This window comes from Homo sapiens, chromosome 1 (assembly GCF_000001405.40).
Source record: "Homo sapiens chromosome 1, GRCh38.p14 Primary Assembly".
Lineage (NCBI taxonomy): Eukaryota > Metazoa > Chordata > Mammalia > Primates > Hominidae > Homo > Homo sapiens.
In genome coordinates this window covers 121,398,721-121,426,508 of record NC_000001.11, presented here as the reverse complement: position 1 = coordinate 121,426,508, position 27,788 = coordinate 121,398,721, and the positions used below count along the sequence as shown (strand labels likewise).

Genomic DNA, 27,788 nt, shown 5'->3' with positions numbered 1-27,788 from the left:
TTCCTTTCAAGTTTGGGAATTACTTGAATTAAATATGGAAGCTCCATATTTAATTACCAATGAGTCAGTAATGTTATTAAGGATTTTCTACCCAATTTCAAATTGTAACTTTCAGAGTAATTCATGTGCAAAAAATCAGAATTAATAATTGAGAATTGGAGACAGGAGTAATCTCACCTAGGATATAAAGAATGGTGACACAAATACAGTCTCTCTTTGTTATCCATTATCTGCATTTTGCCCCAGGAAGACCTACCCAGTTTTTCATGACCAAGATTTGTGATGTCATCTGAGTGTATACGCTGGTGTGTATGTGCACAAGCACGTGTGTGCAAATGTATGTGTATCCAGTGAAAAGTGCCTGGTATAATTTTTAATTATAGAAATGAATCCAAAGCACAGAACATAAATTGTAATCAAATAGGATAGTTTCTCTGAAACTAACTTCTATATTGATTAAAGACTCAAAGATATTGAGCTTTTGATCTAGAAATCCCTGCTTTGCCAACCTTAGAATGAAATGTAAACACTGCTGGATGGAGGTAAACACTGCTGAGATAACTCTAAATTAGCCTACAGGGAATATTTTTTTCTCCCTTCATTGAAGTTTAAGGTCAGATCTAAGCAAAAATTTATTTGCAATAAAATGGGCTTGGGGAGAACAAAAACGTAGTCAGCCATAGATTTTCCAAATTCTAGACCTCCTTTGGTCACTGACCAGTTTTGTAACCTTATTTCTCTAGTCTTACTTTCTCATATCTCATCTTTTCCCATTTGTATAAAATATCTGGCATTTTATGCATAATTATGCAATTCATCCTGATTATATTTACCTGTGCTAAATAGACCTGGAATGTTTAATAGAATTTGTTTCCCAAGGCAACCCATGACTTTACATGTGCCCCAGAATTTTCCTCTGAAATAATGAAAGTTTCCTAGCATTACAAAAACTGAAACAAGGTATTTTTTTCTGGTTTATTCTTGATGAAAAAATAAAATAAAATTAGAATACTTGGGAACTGAAAGAATCAGGAAAGTACATGCAGATGTGCTTGCCCTAAAATGAAAACAAATTTTGAGGAGAAATGGAGAAGCAGCATATAAGGTTTTACTGATGCTCGAACTTTTCTTCTTTGCTAAGACTATGCAGTTTTTTTCTTAGAACCGTATAACTAAAGGGGTTTTATCAAACACTAGCACAAGTGTACTTTAAGGAAACGAAACAATTATAAAACTCTACATGGAAAAGTGTTGATATGTCAAAAATTGTAAGTTAAGTAAGACTAGTTTACTTACAAATGCTGTAGCATTTCATACATTGTATAAGGCCAAGCCTGGTGGCTCATGCCTGTAATCCCAGCACTTCAGGGGGCCAAGGCGAAAGGACTGCTTGAGCTCAGGAGTTGGAGACCAGCCTAGGCCACACAGGGAAACCTTTGTCTCTACTAAAAATAATAATAATAACAATAATTTAAAAATCAGCTGGGTGTCGTGGTACTTGTCTGTAGCTCCAGCTACTCAGGAGTCTGAGGCAGGATGACTGCTTGAGCCCAGGAGTTTGAGGCTGCAGTGAGCTATGATGACACCACTGCACTCTAGCCTGGGCAACAGAGTAAGACCCTGTTTCTAAAATGTAAATAAATAAAAATAAAATGTAGTTCACTTATGAGAATTATATCTCCATTTAAACTTTATTAAATCTGTATTGGTTAAGGTGTTGTACAGCTTTGATTTAAAACTTATGTTAGCACAACATCTTGCGTACATAAAAATGATGTTAGATGTTGCAGTGGTTCTTTCTGTTTTTTCATTTTTAACTGAGGACTGTGTTGCAAATGTGAACAAACCAGAACCTCAATATTGGTTTTGCAGATTAATACTCTGAAATGTACAATTCTGTCATTTGATGAAGTAGTATAAGTGGACTCAGGGTGGATACAGAGTATAATAATGACATTAAAAGTAATTTAATTTGAACCTTCATGAGAAAGGCCTGTAGATTGTTTTCTTTAGGATAAATCCACAATTAGTTTCCAAATATCATTATTAGCTTGAAGCAATAAACCCCTTTCCCAAAATAGTCCAGAAGGAAAAATTTTCCTTTCTTTTCCGACCACCACTATGCAATTTCAAAAAAAAAATTGAAAAAAAAATTGTAACGTTATGTTACAGTTTCAAATGCTCAATTGCCTTCTAGACTGTTCTAATTCAGAGCATAGAATCCACTGTGTGCACCTGTCCAGATCCTCACATTCAAGTCTGCTTTGATAGCCTGCTCATTGGAACACTTCCACATCACTGTCCCTCTGGGGCCTCATCTGCTTACACTGCTGGCTGTCTCAGCCTTCCCAGGTGTCAGCTGGGCTCCAGCACAGCCCTCACTTCCTAGTCACAAGGGGACCTGCAGCAGCCCAAGTGTCCAGACCTACATTGAAGGGACACATAGGGGCTGTGGTTCTTCCCATCATGTCCATAATCAGATGAAGTTCTGTGGAATGCCTGAGACAGAACTTCCCGAGCAGCTAATGACACAACTCAGAAGTGTGGGGTGTGATGCCTCATTGTTCAGCAGCGAGAGACAGAAGAAAGAGGTTGACAAATCCAGTTTCTCAGAAAGAAACATTTAATAGTGTAAACTAAAAATAAAATTCTACACCCCCCAACAGACTGAATGGACCGTTTCTTGGCCAAGTTGGACCCCAGAGAAACCTTGAAAACTGAATTCTCAGCCATGACAGGATAGGAGGTTGGACACCACTCATTAGACCCCCTCCCTTACTAATGGCTAACCACCATTAGGCTTTCCTTCCTAGGGGCTAAAAAGAAAGGAGCCCTCTCAAAGGACTCTACCACAGATATCAACCAACCACCTGAAAAAAGACCACCGACCCCGGAGTAGTACTGACCAGTCTATGGAGAACGGGCCGTAAGGATTTTCATGTCCTCTGCTTCATCTTTTGGCGTCAGAGGGCCGAAAACTCTACCCTCGGATCATGCTAATGCTGCTGTTTTTTTGTATGTGGGACCCATGAGGGCTGAGACGCTCAACTGCACATAAGCATAGTTCTCCTTTCACAAATATACATGACTCCTCCCATACCTTATGGAATGTGTACACTTGCCACCCTGCCCAACATAGATTCCTGTTCCAGTTTTCCCTCCCTGGAAGTGTCCGTTTCTGGTTTCTGGCTATAGGCTACAATTCCCAGCCTGTCAGAATGGCACCCTGAAGGCTGCAGCCCTTTATGAGAAATAAAGCTCTCCTCTCCAAATTTATGAACCTTGTCATTCTTCAGTTGACAATTTACGAACCTTGTCATTCTTCAGTTGACTTAGGAATATTAGCCATATCTCTGGTGGTGGTGAGAGGATATGGTGGATCCCTGCACCATTCTCCCTCAGACCCAGGGTTTTTTTTTTTTTTTTTTTTTTTTACCATAGGGAAAGGGTAACGTGCTTCAAAAGGAATTTGTAAGACAATTGAAGTAATTTGCTCAAGGACAGAATTTGTGGTAAGTCAGTCAACACATCTGAGTAGCATTCAAGATGGAGTTGCTTTACCTCCACACAAACTTAGAGTAATGAGAAAAATAAAAAAGCCAGCAGATAAATTCCTGTCCTGTCTTTCTATCTCACACTTTCCTGAGTAGCAGGGGTTACCTTACGACCTGCGTGGAATACGTCCTTAGTGTTAGTGAGGAAGCAAAAGGTGCTTTGTTCTAAAGCTGTGGATTCCTGGACGATGTACTACATTTTCTCCTCCCCTGAATCACTTCTTTTTCCCTCACTGTTGCTACCCTAACATTGCTTTTTCAAGAAAGTATTAGGACTTAAGCTTTGACCCAGGCTATATGTTTTTAGGGAACTTTAAAACATTCACTTTAGGCATATGTAATCTTAAACACATAAGAAATCTAAAATATGAGAATAATTAAAAGACTTTCAGTATAATTCCCCCGAATATCCATAGTTTTCACTCCTTAACAACAATACCCCAAATTAAAAATATATATATGGCAAAAGTCTCCTTAATGCCAGTCAATTAATCTAGTTCAGAAGAAAGCTTTATTTTTCTCATAGCTCTGTACCATATAATATAAAATGCTAATAATTTAATTTTTTATTTTATTTGTATTTTTTTTTGAAACGGCATCTCGCTCTGTCGCCCAGGCTGGAGTGCAGTGGCACGATCTCCGCTCACTGCAAGCTCCGCCTCCCAGGTTCGCGCCATTCTCCTGCCTCAGCCTCCAGTGTAGCTGGGAGTACAAGGCATCCACCACCGCGCGCGGCTAATTTTTTTTTTTTTTTTTGTATTTTTAGTAGGGACTGGGTTTCACCGTGTTAGCCAGGATGGTCTCGATCTGACCTCGTGATCCGCCCGCCTCAGCCTCCCAAAGTGCTGGGATTACAGGCGTGAGCCACCGCACCCGGCCAAAATGCTAATAATTAAAAAACAAAAACAAAAACAAACAAACGAAAAAAAACCTTAGTGAGGACTGGTGAAAAATAAAATAAGTCAATATTTTAAAAGAAATACAGGAAACATTTTATTTAGTTTACTATGGAGAAAAGATCCTATAAACAATAATGATAAACGTTAACAGAAACAAATCCATTGACTGTTTTTTAAAACAAATTTTACTGAGGTGTAATATTCATATAAGAAAATGTACTCATTTTTAAAAATGTACCCACTTTACAGTTTAATGAGTCCTGACAAATACGTATATCCATGTAACCACCATCACAATCAAGATTTAGAATATTTGCATCACCCCAAAGAGTTCCCTTGTGACCTTTTGCAGTAACATTTTCCTACCCTTACACCCAGGCAACTGCTGGCCTCATCAGCTTTCACTTCCTGTCACTACACAGTTTTGTCCATTCTAAAATTTCATGTAAATACAATCATCACACACACGTTATGTATGTATGACATGTTATGTACATGTGTACATGTTGTGTATATATCTGCTCTTTCTCTCAGCACGTTTTTGAGACTCATCCATAGAGTTGTGTGTATGATTTTGTCCTTCCTATTGCTAATATACTATTGTATTCAGGTACCACATGTTGATGCACATTTGCATTACTTCTCATTTTTGGCTCTTACCAATGAAGCTGCTATGAACATTCATGTGCAAGCTTTTCTGTAGATATATATTTTTACTTATTTTGGGCAAATATGTAGTAGTGGAATTGCTGTATCATAAGGTAAGTGTACGTTTACTTTTATAAGAAACTGCCACATTATTTTCTAAAGTAGTTGTACCCACAAGCAATGTGCAAGAGTTCCAGTTGTTCCACGTCTTTCCCAACATGACATTGTTAGTTTTTATAGCTATATGTATTTATATGGCTAGTTTTATCTCCTGGTAGTCTTATTTTGTATTTTCTTTCTGAATAATGATGTTGAGCATCTTTTCATATGCTATTGGCCATCTTGTATCTTTTTTGCGAAGTGTCTGTTCAAATCTTTTATCCTTTTTTTTTAATTGCTGTGTTTGTCTTTTTATTCACTTTTAAGCAATAGAAAGCTGGCAGAATCTACTGGGCATCTTGTAATCTGTAAATATGCCAGGAAATTTTAGTTAAATTTATGAAATAAACTGTTGGCAATAATTTATTACCTCATTTTCTGCTTCAATCTTCCTTTTTCAGGAAACTTCATCTATTTTAGCTTTCTATCCATCCTTGGAACAGGCCCAGACTTTCTCCTCACTTCACATTGCTCTTACAATTAGCTGTGCTTAGAATTCTTCCTCCCTATCCCCTGGCTCCTTCTCATTTTTCTAGTCTCAGCTCCAATGTCATATCCTCAAACGTACCTTCCCTGACCACCAAAACTAAAATAAGGACTTTTATACCGTTTCTTATCATGGCACTCTGTTCCATCACTTCTCACAATCTGCAGTAATATATTTTTATTTGCTTATTTGTGTGTTGTTTTGTTCCCCCACCAACTTGTGCTGCATGAGAGCAGAGATTATATTCAACCTGTTTTCCAAGGAATCTCCAGCACATTGCACAGTGCAAGGTTCACAATGAGTGTTGAATAGATATTTGTCATTGAATGAATTAATATCTTAATTCTCTATGAGTTATTAAATTGAAGGGTGAATAGGTTTAGAACAATCATTCCCTATAGTTCTTTTGTAGTTTTTCACAACTATGAGTAATTCACAAATGCAGATAACCTTGTAATTCCTTCTTACTTTCTTGTTCATCAGGAGATTCTTGTAGTAGAAGAGGCTTCATAAGCCTTCCTAGATAAATGTATGCAAAAATGGATATTCCAAGGAGCCATACAGATTTGTCCTTGACTTTTTTGGAACTCCATATCAATGTTGAAACTTTTTAGAAGTTTACAACTTTGGGAACTACCCTAGAGGGATTTTTGGAATAACAAGGTTAGCCTACGTGTACTGGGCTATTACCGGGCTCATTGGGAGACTAGGCAGATTCCATAAGGAAGAAAGCATGCCCAGGAGAAGACAATGAGGAGTGGTGGGTAGCCTGGTGAGCACCAACACAAGTGTTGTCATGCAGAAATGCAGGATCAATTTTTCCTAATCTTTGAATGTGAGAATGAATAAATGAATAAAGATCTTGGTTTACACTTAGTAATCATATAAATACTGGCAACTTATTTAATCTGTATGTATCTTAGTTTCTTTTTCTTTAATGTGTCATTAGTAATATTTAATTTATAAGCTGTTTTCTGGATTAAAGAAAATGCTGGTAGAATGCCTGATATATATTAGAAGCTTTATCTTGTTGTTTGTTACATTTCAAAATTCTTCAGCTTATATGCGTTAGAAAACAAGCATTTTCTAAACATACTGTATTCCATTCTCTATTCAAAGTACATACTTAACAAATACTCACTGCTAGCAATAAAAGCTTAATGTGGTGGCAAAAAAATAAGGAGCAATTATATAACCTAGAGGCTGCAGCAACAAATAAAAGAAAAATCTAAGAGAAAGAAAGAAGGAAACAAAGAAACAAAGGAGGAGAAGGAAGGAGGGAAGGAAGGAAGGAAGGAAGGAGAAAGAAGGAAAGAAAAAAGGAGGAAGGAAGGAAGGAAAGAAGGAAGGAAGGAGGGAAGGAAGGAAGGAAAGAAGGAAGGAAGGAAGAAAAGAAAGAAAGAGAAAGAAAGAAAGAAAGAAAAAGAAAGAAAGAAAAAAGAAAGAAAGAAAGAGAAAGAAAGAAAGGAAGAAAGAAAGAAAGGAAGGAAGGAAGAAAGGAAGGAAAAGAAAGAAAGAGAGAGAGTCCGGGCATGGTGGCTCATGCCTGTAATCCCAGTACTTTGGGAGGCCGAGGCGGGTGGATCATGAGGTCAGGAGTTCAAGACCAGCTTGTCTAAGATGGTGAAACTCCTTCTCTACTTAAAAACTACAAAAATTAGCCAGGCATTGTGGCAGGCACCTGTAATCCCAGCTACTCGGGAGTCTGAGGCAGGAGAATTGCTTGAACCCGGGAAGCAGAGGTTGCAGACAGCCGAGACTGCGCCACTGCACTCCAGCCTGAGTGACAGAGAGAGACTCTGAAAAAAAAAAAAGAAAGAAGGAAAGAAGGAAGGAAGGGAGGGAGGAAGGAAGGAAGGAAAGGAAGGAAAGGGAGGAAAGGAAGGAAGGAAGGAAAAGAAAAGAAAAGAAGAAAAGAAAAGAAGAGAAGAAAAGAAAGGGAGAGGAAGGAAGGGAGGGAAGGAAGAAAGGAAGGAAGGAAAGAGGAAGAAAATGAGACATATAATAATTCAAAGAAAAAATACTTTTGTGACACAGTCAATAGAGCAGATATTCACACACACTTAAAAAATAATTATTTTAAGATATTAAACATTCTCCAAAGAATAACAAGGTTATATAATTCGTGCTTGATAAAAAACGAAGACTGGCCCTCTCCCTCTCCCTCCCCATCCCCCTCCCCCTCTCCCTCTCCCTCTCGCTCTCGCTCTCCGTCTCCCTCTTTCTACGGTCTCCCTCTCTTGCGGAGCCTGGACTGTACTGACATGATCTCGGCTGGCTGCAACCTCCCTGCCTCGGGCTCCGGTGATTCTCCTGCCTCGGCCTGCCGAGTGCCTGGGATCCCCTGGAGCAATACTACTGATATATTTCTATAGGATGCCTTGTTAAGTGCTTACTGCTTTTAGAAAAGGTACCTGAGCTGATGCCCAAGATTACATTAAGAGTGGAAAGGTATTAATGCCCCTTAAAAACATTTTTTACAGCCTAGCAGGAAGAAAAATCACTTTACTCCCATATTACGCTTTATGTATTGCTATTGTCATTGCTAATTACAGTATCCCAATAAAACATTTGTTTATGAACTCCCTTCAGTTTAGTTTCATCTGTTAGTAAGATTTATTTTCCTCTTGCAGTAAAATTTCTTTCTTCACATTAAAATTTTATATAATTTGATTAGATAAAGGATATGGATGGATAATCAAAATAAATAATGGCAGAGAGACTGGTCAAGTTAATGCCTTATTTGCTTTATTTTATTCTGTTTTGACATAAAAAATCAAGCTCTTTTTTCTTTCTAAAATTAAGAAAAGCTTAAGAGGTCTAAATCTAGTTTAGCCAGACACATCCACTTATATCTTTAACAATTTTGAATGTGTTTTGACAGATATTTCTTCTTTCTTCACCATGTAGATTATAATTTACAGTTTCGTTTCACAGCAGTTAAATATTACAGTCATTTTCAAGGAGTGAAAAAATTATCATAAACTAGCTACCTTTACACTGTCATACATGAATCATTTAGAAAATTTAAGGAATTTATCCAACTGCATTTCTCATAAAACACGCCTAGAAAATTGATTTAGCTAAGTAAAACAAAAGAAAAATAATTAAATAAAGCATGCTATGAAATACCATTGTGACTAGGCAATTTGAGGAAAACTTATTAAATCAAATTTTGTTTAAACACAACTTCTTATTTATGTATTTATTTATTTATAGACAGGGTCTCACTGTGTCACCCACACGGGAGTGTAGTGACGCAATCATGGCTCACTGCAGCCTCATGCCCCTGGGCTCAAGCAATCCTCCCACCTTAGCTTCCAGAATAGCTGAGACTACAGGCACCATCACGCCCGGCTACAAATGCATCTTCTTACATAACATTTTCCAGCATTCTACATATATAATCTGAATTAAAGACAAAGTAGATTATTCACATAGAAGCAAAAAAAAAATGCTGTAGTCTGTTAACAGTTGATTATCAATGCTTGCAAATCATTAAAAAGCTGTATTTCATTTTCTCATTAAGATTTAGAATTATTGTCCGAAATATGACTGGTTAGTATTTTTAAAAGGTAAAATCAAATAACTACTTTAATGTTACATTGTAGTTATTGAAATAGCATAACCTGTGTTTTTTTTATATTATCAAATGTATTTTGTCGTATTTTCAAAGACAGAGGAGGAAGTGGGGGTGTGGAGGGTGAGGTGGAAGAAGGAAGACGGAGGAGAGGAAGAACAGAAAATAGAAAAGTGACTGGCGATTTCATATAAATTTTTAAGTTGTATTATAGAACTTTTTAAATTGCTCAGCCTTCTGTCTTACAATGAATATAATCATAACTGTAGCAGAATGATAGCTCTGTAATTCATACACAAGACAGGGATGCCATACTTCACCTAATCCAAATTGTTTTGAAAGACCAGATCTTGCAGTGATTTGCAAATGCGGAAAATACAATTTTGCTGTTGGCCTTTCCCTTTGCTATACTCTTCAATAGCTAAACTTCTGGTTGGCACTCAAAAATAAAAAAAATGCATATATACTGAATGCAAATAAGAGTGCCTTTGAATTTGGAACAAAGAAATAGTCCTAACGTTGTGACTGACTACTCAATTTTGGCCTTTATTCTCAAGTAAGCATTTGAGACACTTTGCAATCTCAACATATTAATAAATAGGTTGAAGCAACATATTTTAAAATAGTTTGACATTTCTAACTATCTGAGTTGTAGCTTTAGGCTTTAGCACAAATTACTTAAAACATTGAAGTGATCTCTGCTTGTTTTCTAATACACTGTCCAGAGTGATTGTTTAAAACTATACATCTTATTTTACTTCTCAATTTAAATTATCTAATAATTTTCCAAGGCAGGATCTCAGCTCACTGCAGCGTCTGCCCCCTGGGCTCAAGCAATCCTCCTACCTCACCCTCCAATTAGCAGGAACCACAGGCACGCAGCACCACGCCCAGCTAATTATTGTATTTTTTGTGGAGATGGGGTTTTGCCATATTGGCCAGGCTGGTCTTGAACCCCTGAGCTCAAGCAATCTGCCCATATTGGCCTCCCAAAGTACTAGGATTATAGGTGTGAGCCACAGTGCACAGCACAAATTTCTTATCATTATCTTAACGGAGCCTGCAAGAAAGCTCCAGGTGCATTGTTCTCTCTTGTCCCCTTATGCCAGCCACAGTGACCATCTTCCAGTTCTTCTAAAGTTCCAGGATAACTTGGGCTTCAGCATCTTGGAATTCTCTGCTCTTTGCAGATGTGTCTCCACCCCCTTTCTAGCTAACTCCTTATTCACCTGTTAGCCCAAACTTCACTCCCTTAGGGAAGGATACTCTGGACACCCAGATTAAATCAATTCCTTCTGTCACATACTCAATGAGGTCCCCATATTTTCTGTCATACCATTTACCATAGCTTAACTTGAGTGAGGACAGATTAATTACCAGTTACACATCACACTGTAAGATTCATGAGTATAGGCATGATATCAGTATTATTCACCATTTTACCCTCACAACCTAGCACTGTACTTAGGATATAGTAAGTGCTCAAGAAATATTTTTGACTGAATGAATAGATACATTGTATGGTAGAGATTTTTCTTTTTATATACTGGTGAAAATGAACTATAATCACAAATAAAAATAACTTTCATTGTTCCATAATTTATATACATGATTTCAGATATTTCCAAGAGTTGTATCTGGTCACAATGGACATGAGATTAATTTTTCTGAAAATGCTGGCATCATGTGCCCTTTCTATGCTCCTTCTTCTCCACCGTACTTAGAATTTTAAAGTAATATTAGAAATTACAGATGAGAAAATGTGATAAGTGGCTTACTTTGAATTCCCTGACAAGCAAATCCTGAAAAAGGAATTCAAGAGAAAATAGTTCCATGGGAGATGACTCCAGGAAACACTAATAGCAGAGTGAGAAAGTGAAACAGGAAATGGAGACAACTTTAATAACACAACAGCAACAACTTAACTCAATGACAAGAGTGTATCATTAAGCAAGTTACCACTTGGGGTTTTGGGAGCCAAGTAGAAAATATACCTCAGCCTTGTCCTGACTGCAGGGCAAGGGAGCTGGGTATTTTTAAATCCTGTTGAGTGCTGCTCCTGAAGGGTGAAAATTTCCTCATACTTCCAGCCTGCTGCTGGCAACAGCAGAGTGGCCTCAGGCTGCCAGAGAAAACACTCAGACAAAGACACATAAATGCTGTCCTTGGAAGTCTACTGGTGTGGACTGCAATACTAAGAGCTTAGGTGACATGGGCAAAGCGCAGAGTCGGCTACAGTAGGCTTTATAAATAGTTCTCAGTACACTGCACTAAATTCTGATCATCCCAAAGACTGAAGTACTCTATAATCTTGTTTTAATTATGATATTTCTGAATAAAGTGTTTAATTGTTGGTAGTGCCTTTTGAAACAATAATATAAATAATAAAATTATAATAGAAGTAGGCTGCTATAATTATAGCAATGAGCGGCATTGCTAAATTTATACAGAAACGGTAGCCCCTAAAAATATTTTGTGAAAGGAATTACAACACTATTTTAAGGGTGGCTCTAAAACATTAATTATAAAAATCTTCCCAGGTATATATGAATACAATTTTTAAAATAATTTGGCCAGGAGTGAGCCACTTCTCTTGTTCTATTTTCTTTTTCATCTCACATGTTAGAATTGACCAAACTTGGTCTCCAAGAGAAGGCAAACAAAACAAAACAAAATGAACATATTGGTCCTAAGGAGATAAAATGATCTGAAGTAGAAGAACATCAGAATAAAGACCCTGGTCATCTTGTGGTGTTTTCATGTAAATGTGATGGATATTTTATAGAACTTGGAATTATTGTACTGGAGTTCTCTTAAGCACTTTACATGACACCATTAACTTTCCACACAAAAATAAACTGCCATAAGGGATTGATTTAATGCTTATGAATGAGGATTTCAATCCCTTTATAAAAGTAAAATAATATATAAAATTTATGTGGTAATTTTCAACAAATAGAATATTTTACATATACTTATTTTTCTCACAATATCTTTAGATAATATTGCTTCCATCTCTAAAGGATTTGGAAACAAGACTATAATGTCAAAAGAAAGTCTGTTAAAAAGAATGTAAGAATCTCTAAATTTAAAGATGCACTTCCACAACGGAAATAAGTGCTGTAAACAACAACTGTTATTGCAGTGCTTTCACATTCATTGCGCAACTAATTCTCAAAACATTCCATTTTAAAGGTAGGAAACTATGTCTAATATCAAACATCTAGTTATGGCCTCTCCCTCATTCAAAAGAAAGAAAAACCCATTAGATAGGAGTTACCTCGATTTCCCACAAATAAATCCAGTAATCTTGTCTCCTTCTACAGTCCTCTTCTCCTTCTTCAAAGTAAAATAAAGAAACTAAGCCTCTTCCTGTGGAAGGTCAGTGTCTTCACTGGTACTTCAAATCAGCTTCTCTTTCGTCTTCTCAGAAGCCTGACATTATCAATTACCCTTATTCCTTGCCCCAACCACATCAGCTTTTAAATATTCCCATGGCTTCTCAATATTTCATTTCAAGCAGAATAAAACAAACACAAACAAAAACTACAAAAAATAAAAACCCAAAACAGAAAACCTCACCCCTTAAATTCTTCTACCCCTACCTCTTCACAGCCAAATTTCTTGAACCAGTGGCCAATATTGAGTCTCCATTTCATCCCCACCCATTTCCTTCTCTATCCCCATTCTCTCCCCTGTTAAGTTTGTAACCCAACAAATTTTTCAACCTCATTTTAATTAATATCTTTATAACTTTTTTTTTTTTTTTTTTGGAAACAGAGTTTTGCCCAGGCTGGAATGCAGTGGCATGGACTTGGCTCACTGCAACCTCCACCTCCCAGGTTCAAGCTATGCTCCTGCCTCAGATTCCCGAGTAGCTGGGATTACAGGCATGTAACACCACGCCCAGCTAATTTTTGTATTTTTGTTAGAGACGGGGTTTCACCATGTTGGACAGGCTGGTCTCAAACTCCTGACCTCATGATCCACCCGCCTCAGCCACCCAAAGTGCTGGGATTACAGGCATGAGCCACCGTGCCCGGCTCCTTGTAACTTTTGTACCTGTGGACTGCTCCTTTCTTCCCCCGGCTTCATTGTTTTCTGTTCATTCTTTGTCTTCTTCTTGTATTCTGGCTGTAACTACTCAATTTCTTTCTCAAATGTATCCTCTTATACCTACATATTAAATACTTCAAGAGCAGGTATTTCCTTCGTCTCTATATGCTTTCTCTCAGCAATTCATTAAGGCCAAAGGCTTCAATTACTATCCTTATGTATTGACTCTCAAATTTACACCTTCAGGATAGATATCTTTTTGCTTTAAATTAAGATATCCTTTTTTTCTTCTATATGTCTTCCATTTAACCTGCCCCAAAGTCATCATTTAACTCTAAATAAATAAACGACAAAAAGCAAAAGCTAAACTTACCATCTTGTCCTCTTTCAGGATTCACTAGCTTAGTAATTGGCACCACCATCCCTCCAATTTCACAAGCCAGGAACCTAAGAGTCACTTTTCACCCACCCCTTGTACTTTCTTTCAGCTGTCGTACCCAATCCTTTCCCTAACTCTATTAACTATACCTCCTAAACGTATTCCAAATCCATTTATCTCTCTCCATTTCCAATGCCATCACCCTAGTCAAAGTAATATAGTGAGTAAAAGTAACTGCAGTTTTTGCCATTAATAGTATGTATGGCAAAAACGGCAATCACTTTCGCACCAACTTATTACTATTTTCCGCCCTGACACACTGACAGCTGACAACTCCTCTATTCTGATACAAAAATCTTTTCAGCATATGACCATGCTCTTCTCCTGCTTAAAACCCTTTAATATTTCCCCATGCATTTTAGGATAAAATTGCTTGATGTGGGCTACCAGACCCTGCAAGCTCTTCTCCCTGCTTGGTTAATCATCAGGTTTCACTCAACCCTTCACATGGAGCTCCAGTCTCTCTGGACTTTCAGTTTCTTGAATACTTTATGTTCTGTTGCCCCAGGTCCTGGGCACTGGCATTTATCTCACCTTAGGAGACCTCTCCTTGCCTAGGTTTTCCTACTCATTCTTCAAACCTCAGTTCATACTATTAATCCCTCAGAAAACTCAAACCTGCTCATTCACATCTACTCTCATATTCTTAAAAGGCTCACCCTTCCATTATCTCAAGATTGTTAATTACATAATTTTTATAATTATTTTATTAACATTTGTCTTCTCCCATTAGACTATGAGTTCAATGAAAGTAGGAAACATGACTGATTTTATTCTCCATGGCCCTACTAACAATTCCAGCAGTTACTCACTATTTGCTAAATATATAAATAGTCATGCCTGGGTCTTGACTTTAATGTGAAACTCTGACTGTTATGTTGTCTGTAGAGACTTCTCCATTGCAGAGAAACCCATCATGTTTAATAGATCCATTTGCATTTCTGTAAACCACATACAATGTATTAACAGTCATATTTAACAACAAAAATAGACTTACTTTGAAAGCTTAATCCTAAAACCTCAGCTCCTTATGAAATTCTGCCATGTCAAAGAAAAGTATCTAGTTTTCTATATGTATGTTATTACTGATCACTTTCTTTCACTTGCCAATTGAACATACTCATGGAAAACACTTATTTTCCCAAAGCAAAATAGAAGATTGTACCTGGGAATCTTGTAAGTAAGAATAGATGTTCAAGTAATTCAGTTAATCGTGATTCTTCAGTTGTGGAGACATTTGTTATGTGGGACACTGTCAGAACTTCTAGTCTATGGCCACACCACCCCAAACATGCTCAATCTCGTCTGTCATGACTTATAGTGAGAGTGAGTTCTGTAGACAATGCATTGGAAGGAATAAAAAACTGTCAATTGTCTGTTTTTTTAAACCGTAAACATTCTAGATGGCTTTCTAAATGGCTACATTGAGAAAGCAACCTTAGATTTAAGAAAGCTCTAGTTTGAGCAAAAAAAAAAAAAAATTACCTTTCTCTCTCTCTCATTATGGTAGTGGCTATCTTAGATTTGATCTGACATCTAATACAGTACTTTACCAAATGACTTTACCTTTACTTATTAAATGCTGCTGCAGTGACACAATTCAGCTGCACCCTTCACCATGCATAAAAAAAAATCCCGAGGCTCACTTTATTTGATCGCTGACCACTCTGGAGACTTCCCACAATAGCTCAAATCTCAGTTATTCTTTATCTTGTGCCCTTGAATACCAAAATGTAAATCAAACTCACATATATTATCCTGTCTCACTTATGGCTGCTTTACAAGCACAGCATGGAGTCATTGTTCAGCATGGTTTACAGGTACAAACACAACTGAAATCAGTACTGGTTAATTTTCTGAGGGTAATAAGAATATTGAACACATGAATTGCTACTGAGTATTTTTGCATGCTAAAATATCACTGCGTTTTTCATAATATTTTATTCCGTACCAAATAGGAATGAAATGCAAGTCTATCTTTTATAGTTTTATACAAAGAAGCGGAGGTCTTATGATAATAAGTTAATGGTTTCTAGCAACCTGACATGTATTTTCTGTATTTTTCTCTTAAATGTTTTGGGGGTTTTGGAATTTTCTACCTAGAAATAGTCTATAAGTGAGAAATGAATTTGTTCCAAGTTACAGGATTCTGTTTTGTTCTCACTAATGTTTAATTTTAATATTAGAACTTCATCAGAAATGGTAGTATATTAAGATATTTCTTCACAAGTATTGGCTATTGCTAAACTTGGAAATAAACACAAACTAATATATTAATAAAATATACAGTCTGAAGAGCTTGTTAAATTTTAATACTATCATTTATACAAAAAACACAAATATATAAACATTATGCTATTTGATTTACTTAGTAATACAATAAACTAGGCCGGGTGTGGTGGCTCACACCTGTAATCCCAGCACTTTGGGAGGCCGAGGCGGGTGGATCACAAGGTAAAAAATTAGCCGGGCGTGGTGGCAGGCACCTGTAGTCCCAGCTACTTGGGAGACTGAGGCAGGAGAATGGAGTGAAACCGGGAGGCGGAGCTTGCAGTGAGCCGAGATCACGCTACTGCACTCCAGCCTGGGTGACAGAGCAAGACTCCATCTCAAAAATAAATAAATAAATAAATAAACAAACTAGAAAAATATTTAACAAATATTAATATTTACAGTAAGGCTAGAAATGAGAATTTTTAACAGGCCAAATTTCCACAAGGCTTTTATTACTCTTACTGAAAAAGAATGACAATTAACTTTTACAAATGTAATCACTTAAGCCAAACGTGCTTGATCTATTCTCCTATCTTAGTTTTGCTGACATTATAATTTCTAGTTATTATTGTTATTTTGTTTATACATTATCAGTAAGTAGAGAATCAACTAAAACTAATGACTGATTTTTTCCCATGGTTGTAGAGTTTAAATTTATGAGTCCCATTAATCTCAATGTCAGAAATCAATAAAATTCTAGTTTTTAGTCTAGTTAAATGCTTATGTGGATATCCTAAACATTTGCCATATTACTACATGGTGTTAATAATCAATAATTCAACTTCCCTGAATAATGTTATTGAACACTAAGGTATCATAATTTGGCTATGCCATTGCCCAGCTGCTAGTATTTATATAGCTTGTTCCAGTTTCTTTATTGGGTTGTTTTTCTGTATTAAGGAACACAGAAATTAATAGTTTTCAGCAAATTACTGTTTAGAAGACTTATTTGAATTCATAAGTAACTTTTTAAAAGTTAATTTTATTGAGATTAATTTATATATGATAAAGTATACCAATTTTAATTGTATGAGTCAATAAGTTTTGACAAATGCACACTTCCATATAGTCACCAATATGCAGATAGAAAAGTTTCATCACCTTGGAAAATTCTCTTGAGCACCTTTGCAGTTAACCCCACTCTCCTCCCCACTCTCCATCCCAAGGCAACCACTTGTCAATGTTCCATCACCACATATGAGTTTGTCCTGTTCTAAAATGAAATATAAATTAATCATACAGTATGAGTTTTCATGTCTGTCTTCTTTGGCTCAACATATTTTTTGAGATTTGTCCATGTTGTCATATGTATCAGTAGTTTTTCTTTATTGCTGAGTAGTATTCCACTGATGAATTTGTTTACCTATTCATGTGTTAAAGGACATTTGGGTTCTTTTCACTTCGGGGACACTGGAGAAGAATAAAGCAGCATTCTTCCACAAGTCTTTTTACAGACATAGATTTTCATTTCTCTTGGGCAAATAAGAGTGGAATTGCTGGGTTCTAGAGCAGGTGTATGCTTAATTTTATAACAAACTGCTAAGCCATTTTCCAAAGTACTTGTAGCGTTTTACGTTTTCAAAAGCAATATATGACAGTTTCAGTTGTCCCATGTCATGTCACTCTTTTGCAGGACTGCAGCACAGTGAGACCATGCAACTTTGTGTCTTGAAGACCAACCCCAAGATTTCTGAGTTCAGAAAACAATGAAAATAAGAGACTTTTAAATATGAAATCACAAGGTAATATAAAATCCTTCCCTTTACAGGCCTGACCCCAATATTTGATTACTCAGTAAAATACTCATGTAAGAGGATTATTTGGGGAAGTGCATTTTTTTGCACTGAAGCTTCCTTAGATGTAAAGCCTTCATACCAGCTCAGAGGTTCAAAGCAGGTTTCTCTTCCTCAAACCAAAGATTATCTTTGGTTTGGAAGATTGCTTTTTGACCTACGCTGACCTAGCCTCAGCAACTGCACCAGGTGAAATGTTCTCCATCTATTGCTCACCTGCAAAGATTTTGTCTCTCTAAAGTAATTTAGTTCTTTTAGATTTATTTGTACCTGTGGAACAGAATTTTTACAAAATGGTGGTTTTAAACAAAAGTGCGAAATGTTTGGTTTATTGGGTAACATTGTTTCAGTGGGAGTGAAGGAAGATCTTTCACATCTTTTTATGTCCTAAACATAAGCCTAACTCTTGCAAAAATCTTTTTGCAAATTTTAAGTATCTCTTAAGGATGTACTCCCAGAAGACCATTACTTCTGTAATTACCATTACCATAAGTCAAGAGTTATGAATGTTTGTGACAATTGCCAAAAAGAATAACAGATAATATGATAATAGTATTATTTGTCAAAAGAAATACTATGTTCCCTTTCCATAGAATTTGTTACTCTACGAATTGAAACAGAACTCAATGAATTTCATTGTATCCATTTTGTTGAAATATTTGTGTATTGATCTCAAACTTATTTGCATTATATACTTACCTCCTGTCACCACCCATTCATTCAACATTTATTTATTCCAAGAGCAGTCTAAGTAAGAGAATGACACTTTTCTCACTTTTACAGGCAAAATGAAACAAAGGAGTGTAACTGCTAATGGGCATGGGATTTTTTTTTCTTTTAAAAATGTTCTAAATTTGATTGTGGTGATGGTTGTACAACTTTGGGAACACAATAAAAAATCACTGAATCAAAACTTTAAATGAGTGAATCGTTTAATGTGGATGTTATCTCAATGAAACTACTACTTAAAAAAATAAAATAAAAGGAACATTAATGTAAATGAAAATTCCATGGTATGACTCTAACAACCAAATTCTCATCCAGCTGAAAACCAAAATATATTTCTTGGGGCAACTTCTTTTTTTTTTTTTAATTTAATTTTATTTTTTTTTTATTTTTATTTTTTTAAATTTTTAAAATTTCTTCTTTTTTTATTTATTATTATTATACTTTAAGTTTTAGGGTACATGTGCACAATGTGCAAGTTAGTTACATATGTACACATGTGCCATGCTGGTGCGCTGCACCCACTAACTCGTCATCTAGCATTAGGTATATCTCCCAATGCTATCCCTCCCCCTTACCCCCACCCCACAACAGTCCCCAGAGTGTGATGTTCCCCTTCCTGTGTCCATGTGTTCTCATTGTTCAGTTCCCACCTATGAGTGAGAATATGCGGTGTTTGGTTTTTTGTTCTTGCGATAGTTTACTGAGAATGATGATTTCCAATTTCATCCATGTCCCTACAAAGGACATGAACTCATCAATTTTTATGGCTGCATAGTATTCCATGATGTATATGTGCCACATTTTCTTAATCCAGTCTATCATTGTTGGACATTTGGGTTGGTTCCAAGTCTTTGCTATTGTGAATAGTGCCGCAATAAACATACGTGTGCATGTGTCTTTATAGCAACATGATTTATAGTCCTTTGGGTATATACCCAGTAATGGGATGGCTGGGTCAAATGGTATTTCTAGTTCTAGATCCCTGAGGAATCACCACACTGACTTCCACAATGGCTGAACTAGTTTACAGTCCCACCAACAGTGTAAAAGTGTTCCTATTTCTCCACATCCTCTCCAGCATCTGTTGTTTCCTGACTTTTTAATGATTGCCATTCTAACTGGTGTGAGATGGTATCTCATTGTGGTTTTGATTTGCATTTCTCTGATGGCCAGTGATGGTGAGGATTTTTTCATGTGTTTTTTGGCTGCATAAATGTCTTCTTTTGAGAAGTGTCTGTTCATGTCCTCTGCCCACTTTTTGATGGGGTTGTTTGTTTTTTCTTGTAAATTTGTTTGAGTTCATTGTAGATTCTGGATATTAGCCCTTTGCCAGATGAGTAGGTTGCGAAAATTTTCTCCCATTTTGTAGGTTGCCTGTTCACTCTGATGGTAGTTTCTTTTGCTGTGCAGAAGCTCTTTAGTTTAATTAGATCCCATTTGTCAATTTTGGCTTTTATTGCCATTGCTTTTGGTGTTTTAGACATGAAGTCCTTGCCCACGCCTATGTCCTGAATGGTAATGCCTAGGTTTTCTTCTAGGGTTTTTATGGTTTTAGGTCTAACGTTTAAGTCTTTAATCCATCTTGAATTGATTTTTGTATAAGGTGTAAGGAAGGGATTCAGCTTTCTACATATGGCTAGCCAGTTTTCCCAGCACCATTTATTAAATAGGGAATCCTTTCCCCAATGCTTGTTTTTCTCATGTTTGTCAAAGATCAGATAGTTGTAGATATGTGGCGTTATTTCTGAGGGCTCTGTTCTGTTCCATTGATCTATATCTCTGTTTTGGTACCAGTACCATGCTGTTTTGTTTACTGTAGACTTGTAGTATAGTTTGAAGTCAGGTAGTGTGATGCCTCCAGCTTTGTTCTTGGCTTAGGATTGACTTGGTGATGTGGGCTCTTTTTTGGTTCCATATGAACTTTAAAGTAGTTTTTTCCAATTCTGTGAAGAAAGTCATTGGTAGCTTGATGGGGATGGCATTGAATCTATAAATTACCTTGGGCAGTATGGCCATTTTCACGATATTGATTCTTCCTACCCATGAGCATGCAATGTTCTTCCATTTGTTTATATCCTCTTTTATTTCCTTGAACAGTGGTTTGTAGATCTCCTTGAAGAGGTCCTTCACATCCCTTGTAAGTTGGATTCCTAGGTATTTTATTCTCTTTGAAGCAATTGTGAATGGGAGTTCACTCATGATTTGGCTCTCTGTTTGTCTGTTGTTGGCATATAAGAATGCTTGTGATTTTTGCACATTGATTTTGTATCCTGAGACTTTGGTGAAGTTGCTTATCAGCTTAAGGAGATTTTGGGCTGAAACAATGGGGTTTTCTAGATATACAATCATGTCGTCTGCAAACAGGGACAATTTGACTTCCTCTTTTCCTAATTGAATACCCTTTATTTCCTTCTCCTGCCTAATTGCCCTGGCCAGAACTTCCAACACTATGTTGAATAGGAGTGGTAAGAGAGGGCATCCCTGTCTTGTGCCAGTTTTCAAAGGGAATGCTTCCAGTTTTTGCCCATTCAGTATGATATTGGCTGTGGGTTTGTCATAGATAGCTCTTATTATTTTGAAATACGTCCCATCAATACCTAATTTATTGAGAGTTTTTACCATGAAGAGTTGTTGAATTTTGTCAAAGGCCTTTTCTGCATCTATTGAGATAATCATACGGTTTTTGTCATTGGTTCTGTTTATATGCTGGATTACATTTATTGATTTGCGTATATTGAACCAGCCTTGCATCCCAGGGATGAAGCCCACTTGATCATGGTGGATGAGCTTTTGGATGTGCTGCTGGATTCAGTTTGCCAGTATTTTATTGAGGATTTTTGCATCAATGTTCATCAAGGATATTGGTCTAAAATTCTCTTTTTTGGTTGTGTTTCTGCCCGGCTTTGGTATCAGGATGATGCTGGCCTCATAAAATGAGTTAGGGAGGATTCCCTCTTTTTCTATTGATTGGAATAGTTTCAGAAGGAATGGTACCAGTTCCTCCTTGTACCTCTGGTAGAATTCAGTTGTGAATCCATCTGGTCCTGGACTCTTTTTGGTTGGTAAACTATTGATTATTGCCACAATTTCAGCTCCTGTTATTGGTCTATTCAGAGATTCAACTTCTTCCTGGTTTAGTCTTGGGAGAGTGTATGTGTTGAGGAATTTATCCATTTCTTCTACATTTTCTAGTTTATTTGCGTAGAGGTGTTTGTAGTATTCTCTGATGGTAGTTTGTATTTCTGTGGGATTGGTGGTGATATCCCCTTTATCATTTTTTATTGTGTCTATTTGATTCTTCTCTCTTTTTTTCTTTATTAGTCTTGCTAGTGGTCTATCAATTTTGTTGATCCTTTCAAAAAACCAGCTCCTGGATTCATTGATTTTTAGAAGGGTTTTTTGTGTCCTATTTCCTTCAGTTCTGCTCTGATTTTAGTTATTTCTTGCCTTCTGCTAGCTTTTGAATGTGTTTGCTCTTGCTTTTCTAGTTCTTTTAATTGTGATGTTAGGGTGTCAATTTTGGATCTTTCCTGCTTTCTCTTGTGGGCATTTAGTGCTATAAATTTCCCTCTACACACTGCTTTGAATGCGTCCCAGAGATTCTGGTATGTTGTGTGTTTGTTCTCATTGGTTTCAAAGAACATCTTTATTTCTGCCTTCATTTCGTTATGTACCCAGTAGTCATTCAGGAGCAGGTTGTTCAGTTTCCATGTAGTTGAGCGGCTTTGGGTGAGATTCTTAATCCTGAGTTCTAGTTTGATTGCACTGTGGTCTGAGAGATAGTTGGTTATAATTTCTGTTCTTTTACATTTGCTGAGGAGAGCTTTACTTCCAACTATGTGGTCAATTTTGGAATAGGTGTGGTGTGGTGCTGAAAAAAATGTATATTCTGTTGATTTGGGGTGGAGAGTTCTGTAGATGTCTATTAGGTCCACTTGGTGCAGAGCTGAGTTCAATTCCTGGGTATCCTTGTTGACTTTCTGTCTCCTTGATCTGTCTAATGTTGACAGTGTGGTGTTAAAGTCTCCCATTATTAATGTGTGGGAGTCTAAGTCTCTTTGTAGGTCACTCAGGACTTGCTTTATGAATCTGGGTGCTCCTGTATTGGGTGCATATATATTTAGGAGAGTTAGCTCTTCTTGTTGAATTGATCCCTTTACCATTATGTAATGGCCTTCTTTGTCTCTTTTGATCTTTGTTGGTTTAAAGTCTGTTTTATCAGAGACTAGGATTGCAACCCCTGCCTTTTTTTGTTTTCCATTTGCTTGGTAGATCTTCCTCCATCCTTTTATTTTGAGCCTATGTGTGTCTCTGCACGTGAGATGGGTTTCCTGAATACAGCACACTGATGGGTCTTGACTCTTTATCCAATTTGCCAGTCTATGTCTTTTAATTGGAGAATTTAGTCCATTTACATTTAAAGTTAATATCGTTATGTGTGAATTTGATCCTGTCATTATGATGTTAGCTGGTTATTTTGCTCGTTTGTTGATGCAGTTTCTTCCTAGTCTCGACGGTCTTTACATTTTGGCATGATTTTGCAGCGGCTGGTACTGGTTGTTCCTTTCCATGTTTAGCGCTTCCTTCAGGAGCTCTTTTAGGGCAGGCCTGGTGGTGACAAAATCTCTCACCATTTGCTTGTCTGTGAAGTATTTTATTTCTCCTTCACTTATGAAGCTTAGTTTGGCTGGATATGAAATTCTGGGTTGAAAATTCTTTTCTTTAAGAATGTTGAATATTGGCCCCCACTCTCTTCTGGCTTGTAGGGTTTCTGCCGAGAGATCCGCTGTTAGTCTGATGGGCTTCCCTTTGAGGGTAACCCGACCTTTCTCTCTGGCTGCCCTTAACATTTTTTCCTTCATTTCAACTTTGGTGAATCTGACAATTATGTGTCTTCGAGTTGCTCTTCTTCAGGAGTATCTTTGTGGCGTTCTCTGTATTTCCTGAATCTGAACGTTGGCCTGCCTTGTTAGATTGGGGAAGTTCTCCTGGATAATATCCTGCAGAGTGTTTTCCAACTTGGTTCCATTCTCCCCATCACTTTCAGGTACACCAATCAGACGTAGATTTGGTCTTTTCACATAGTCCCATATTTCTTGGAGGCTTTGCTCATTTCTTTTTATTCTTTTTTCTCTAACCTTCCCTTCTTGCTTCATTTCATTCATTTCATCTTCCATCGCTGATACCCTTTCTTCCAGTTGATCGCATCGGCTCCTGAGGCTTCTGCATTCTTCACGTAGTTCTCGAGCCTTGGTTTTCAGCTCCATCAGCTCCTTTAAGCACTTCTCTGTATTGGTTATTCTAGTTATACATTCTTCTAAACTTTTTTCAAAGTTTTCAACTTCTTTGCCTTTGGTTTGAATGTCCTCCGGTAGCTCAGAGTAATTTGATCGTCTGAAGCCTTCTTCTCTCAGCTCGTCAAAGTCATTCTCCATCCAGCTTTGTTCCGTTGCTGGTGAGGAACTGCGTTCCTTTGGAGGAGGAGAGGCGCTCTGCGTTTTAGAGTTTCCAGTTTTTCTGTTCTGTTTTTTCCCCATCTTTGTGGTTTTATCTACTTTTGGTCTTTGATGATGGTGATGTACAGGTGTGTTTTCGGTGTGGATGTCCTTTCTGTTTGTTAGTTTTCCTTCTAACAGACAGGACCCTCAGCTGCAGGTCTGTTGGAATACCCTGCCATGTGAGGTGTCAGTGTGCCCCTGCTGGGGGGTGCCTCCCAGTTAGGCTGCTCGGGGGTCAGGGATCAGGGACCCACTTGAGGAGGCAGTCTGCCGGTTCTCAGATTTCCAGCTGCGTGCTGGGAGAACCACTGCTCTCTTCAAAGCTGTCAGACAGGGACACTTAAGTCTGCAGAGGTTACTGCTGTCTTTTTGTTTGTCTGTGCCCTGCCCCCAGAGGTGGAGCCTACAGAGGCAGTCAGGCCTCCTTGAGCTGTGGTGGGCTCCACCCAGTTTGAGCTTCCTGGCTGCTTTGTTTACCTAAGCAAGCCTGGGCAATGGCGGGCGCCCCTCCCCCAGCCTCGCTGCCGCCTTGCAGTTTGATCTCAGACTGCTGTGCTAGCAGTCAGCGAGATTCCGTGGGCGTAGGACCCCCCGAGCCAGGTGTGGGATATAATCTCGTGGTTCACCATTTTTTAAGCCGGTCTGAAAAGCGCAATATTCAGGTGGGAGTGACCCGATTTTCCAGGTGCGTCCGTCACCCCTTTCTTTGACTCGGAAAGGGAACTCCCTGACCCCTTGCGCTTCCAAAGTGAGGCAATGCCTCGCCCTGCTTCGGCTGGTGCAAGGTGCGCTCACCCACTGGCCTGCGCCCACTGTCTGGCACTCCCTAGTGAGATAAACCCGGTACCTCAGATGGAAATGCAGAAATCACCTGTCTTCTGCGTCGCTCACGCTGTGAGCTGTAGACCGGAGCTGTTCCTATTCGGCCATCTTGGCTCCTCCCCCCTCATCTCATCTTTTCATCTCATCATTTCATTTCATCATTTCATTTCATTTCATCTTTTCATCTCATTTCATTTCATCAATTCATCATTTGATCTCATTTCATTTCACTTCATTTCATTGTTTCATTTCATTTCATCACTTCATCTCAATATTTCATTACGTCATTTCACTTCATCTCATTTCATCATTTCATCTCATGATTTCATTTCATCTCATTTCATTTCATCATTTCATTTATTTCATCATTTCATCATTTGACTTCATGTCATCATTTCATATCATTTCATCATTTCATCTTTTCATTCCATCATTTCATCATTACATTTCATCGTTTCATTTCCTCATTTCATCATTTCATTTCATCCTTTCATCATTTCATCTCATCATCTCATCCTTTCATTATTTCATTTCATCATTTCTTCTCATTGTTGCATTTCGTCATCTCATCATTTCATCATTTCACTTCATCTCATCATTTCATCATCTCATGATTTCATTTCATCTCATCATTCATCTCATTTCATCTTTTCATCTCGTCATTTCATTTCATCATTTCATTTCATCTTTTCATCTCGTCATTTCATTTCATCTTTTCATCTCGTCATTTCATTTGATCATTTCATCAATTCATCATTTCATCATTTCATTTCATTATTTCATCATTTAATCATTTCACTTCATTTCATCATTTCATATCATTTCTTCATTTCACCATTTGATCTTTTCATTTCATTTCATCATTTCATCATTTCACTTCATCATTTCATCATTCCATTTCATTTCCTCATTTCATTTCACAATTTCATCATTTCATTTCATCATTCCATTTCATCATTTCACTTCATCTCATCATATCATCTTTCATTGCATTATTTCATTTCATCTCATCATTTCATTTCATCATTTCACTTCATCTCATCATTTCATTTCATCTCATAATTTCATTTCATCTTTTCATCTCATTTCATTTAATTATTTCGTTTCATTTCACCTTTTCATCTCATCGTTTCATTTCATCAATTCATCATTTAATTTCATTTTTTCATCATTTCATCATTCACTTCATTTCATCATTTCATCATTTCATATCATTTCCTCATCATTTCATCTTTTCATTTCATCATTTCATCATTTCATTTCACTTCATTATTTCATTTCACTTCATTATTTCATTTCATTTCATTTCACCATTTCATGTCATCACTTCATCATTTCATTTCATCATTCCATTTCATCATTTCATTTCATTTCATCATCATTTCATCTCATTATTTCATTTCTTCATTTCATCATTTCGTTTCATTTCATCATTTCATTTCATCATTTCATCATTTCTTTTCATTTCAGTGATACATGTATTTAATTGCTAATGCGATGCCCAGGAGACACCCTATTTCCCTTTGTAAAACACCTCCTTCAACAAAAGGCAACTTCTCATGGCTGGCTAAGTCTACAGGGATACCAGCCTCTCTTCAACCACCCAATTTCATTTAGAACCTCAAACAGCACCTCAGTTTCATAAAAACCTAAAACATAAACACAACACTTGGTTGTAAGTGAGCCGACAGTTTCTTGTCTCTTTCTCTGCTCAAGGCTTAAGGCCGTGTCTCCCCAACTACATTCAGTGGAAGAAAAGATCCCATGGACAAATAAGTTTGAGAATTGTTGTTGCAGGAATTCTCAGAACTTTCAAAACACAAATCCTCATCCGCAGGGATCTTCAGGAGGGAGATGGCTGATGCAGCACAACTTTCTTTCACAGGAGTATCTTGCAGAATACAGTATGAGATACAGAAAGGCTGCATTGAGTCTTTTTAATGGCCCGGGCCTTGGTGGGGGTGGGGTAGGAGCTCTCCAGATAGCATCTAATGAGTAGGAACATTCAGGTGGCTTTTTTTTTTCCTTATTGGCAAAACTGTGTGTACACCATGAATGAAGCTGGTCTCCCTTATCCACGTCAAAACTAAACCCAAATTAATTGGCTAAATTGGGACTCAACACCTCCAGGAGCCACGCGGCAGAAAGCCCCAACACACTTTAAATTAGCTTACCTCATCATATTTCAGGAAAGCAAAACGCTTATGACCAGTATGCTGCTAATACAAGTCTACAGATAATGCTGTATGAAAAACTAGTTTTCCCAGTCATAGCTCGCATAGTCCACATTTTGCATTACACTTTCCCCCCCTTTTTAAAATTTTAAATACAGGTCTTTTTCTCTTCTTTTTTTCAATTTTAATTAAATTATACAAGACGGAGTCTCAGTATGTTGCCCAGGCTGGTCTTCAACTCCTGAGCTCAAGCGATACAACCATCTCCGCCTCCCAAAGTGCTGAGATTGCAGGCCTGAGACACTGTGCCTGGCCTTAAACACAAATCTTAATTCATTCTTACAATTATTCCGAGGTTACAAAAATGGAAGGGGAAGAAAAATGGCAAGTAGGTAGGCTGACTTCGGCTTCATTATTTGGAAGGACAGTTTGCTCGGTTAAAACACACTACTGCCTACAAAGGCCAAGACAACAGAAAAATACAGACTTACATAAATAGATTTTATATGTGACAGCAGTTTGAATGGAGACTTTTTCAATGCAATGAGAAACAGCTGTGCTTGGGAATAAATGACAACGAATTTTTTTTATCTCAACAGCTGTCCTGAGAGCATGTCTCTACATCTCTACCTGCATTCTGGATTCAGGGAGAAAGCCAAAACGGACGACAAGACAC

General features: G+C 37.4%; 1 protein-coding gene across 4 annotated transcripts in view, besides 3 other annotated features; it reads right to left on the bottom strand.

Moving 5' to 3' along the window:
- LINC02798 (long intergenic non-protein coding RNA 2798) overlaps positions 1-27,788 on the bottom strand; it is a 67,558-nt gene that overhangs the window by 36,621 nt on the left and 3,149 nt on the right. The gene's annotated exons all lie outside the window — the stretch shown is intronic.
- Positions 6,221-6,722: an enhancer, noted in NCBI's record as "NANOG hESC enhancer chr1:121161647-121162148 (GRCh37/hg19 assembly coordinates)". NCBI's record gives its function as "activates a minimal SCP1, AML or CMV promoter by ChIP-STARR-seq in primed H9 embryonic stem cells {active_cell/tissue: H9 hESC(primed)}" and the evidence as "EXISTENCE:reporter gene assay evidence [ECO:0000049][PMID:30033119]".
- Positions 24,176-24,764: an enhancer, noted in NCBI's record as "NANOG-H3K27ac-H3K4me1 hESC enhancer chr1:121143605-121144193 (GRCh37/hg19 assembly coordinates)". NCBI's record gives its function as "activates a minimal SCP1, AML or CMV promoter by ChIP-STARR-seq in naive and primed H9 embryonic stem cells {active_cell/tissue: H9 hESC(naive and primed)}" and the evidence as "EXISTENCE:reporter gene assay evidence [ECO:0000049][PMID:30033119]".
- Positions 24,765-25,353: an enhancer, noted in NCBI's record as "NANOG-H3K27ac-H3K4me1 hESC enhancer chr1:121143016-121143604 (GRCh37/hg19 assembly coordinates)". NCBI's record gives its function as "activates a minimal SCP1, AML or CMV promoter by ChIP-STARR-seq in primed H9 embryonic stem cells {active_cell/tissue: H9 hESC(primed)}" and the evidence as "EXISTENCE:reporter gene assay evidence [ECO:0000049][PMID:30033119]".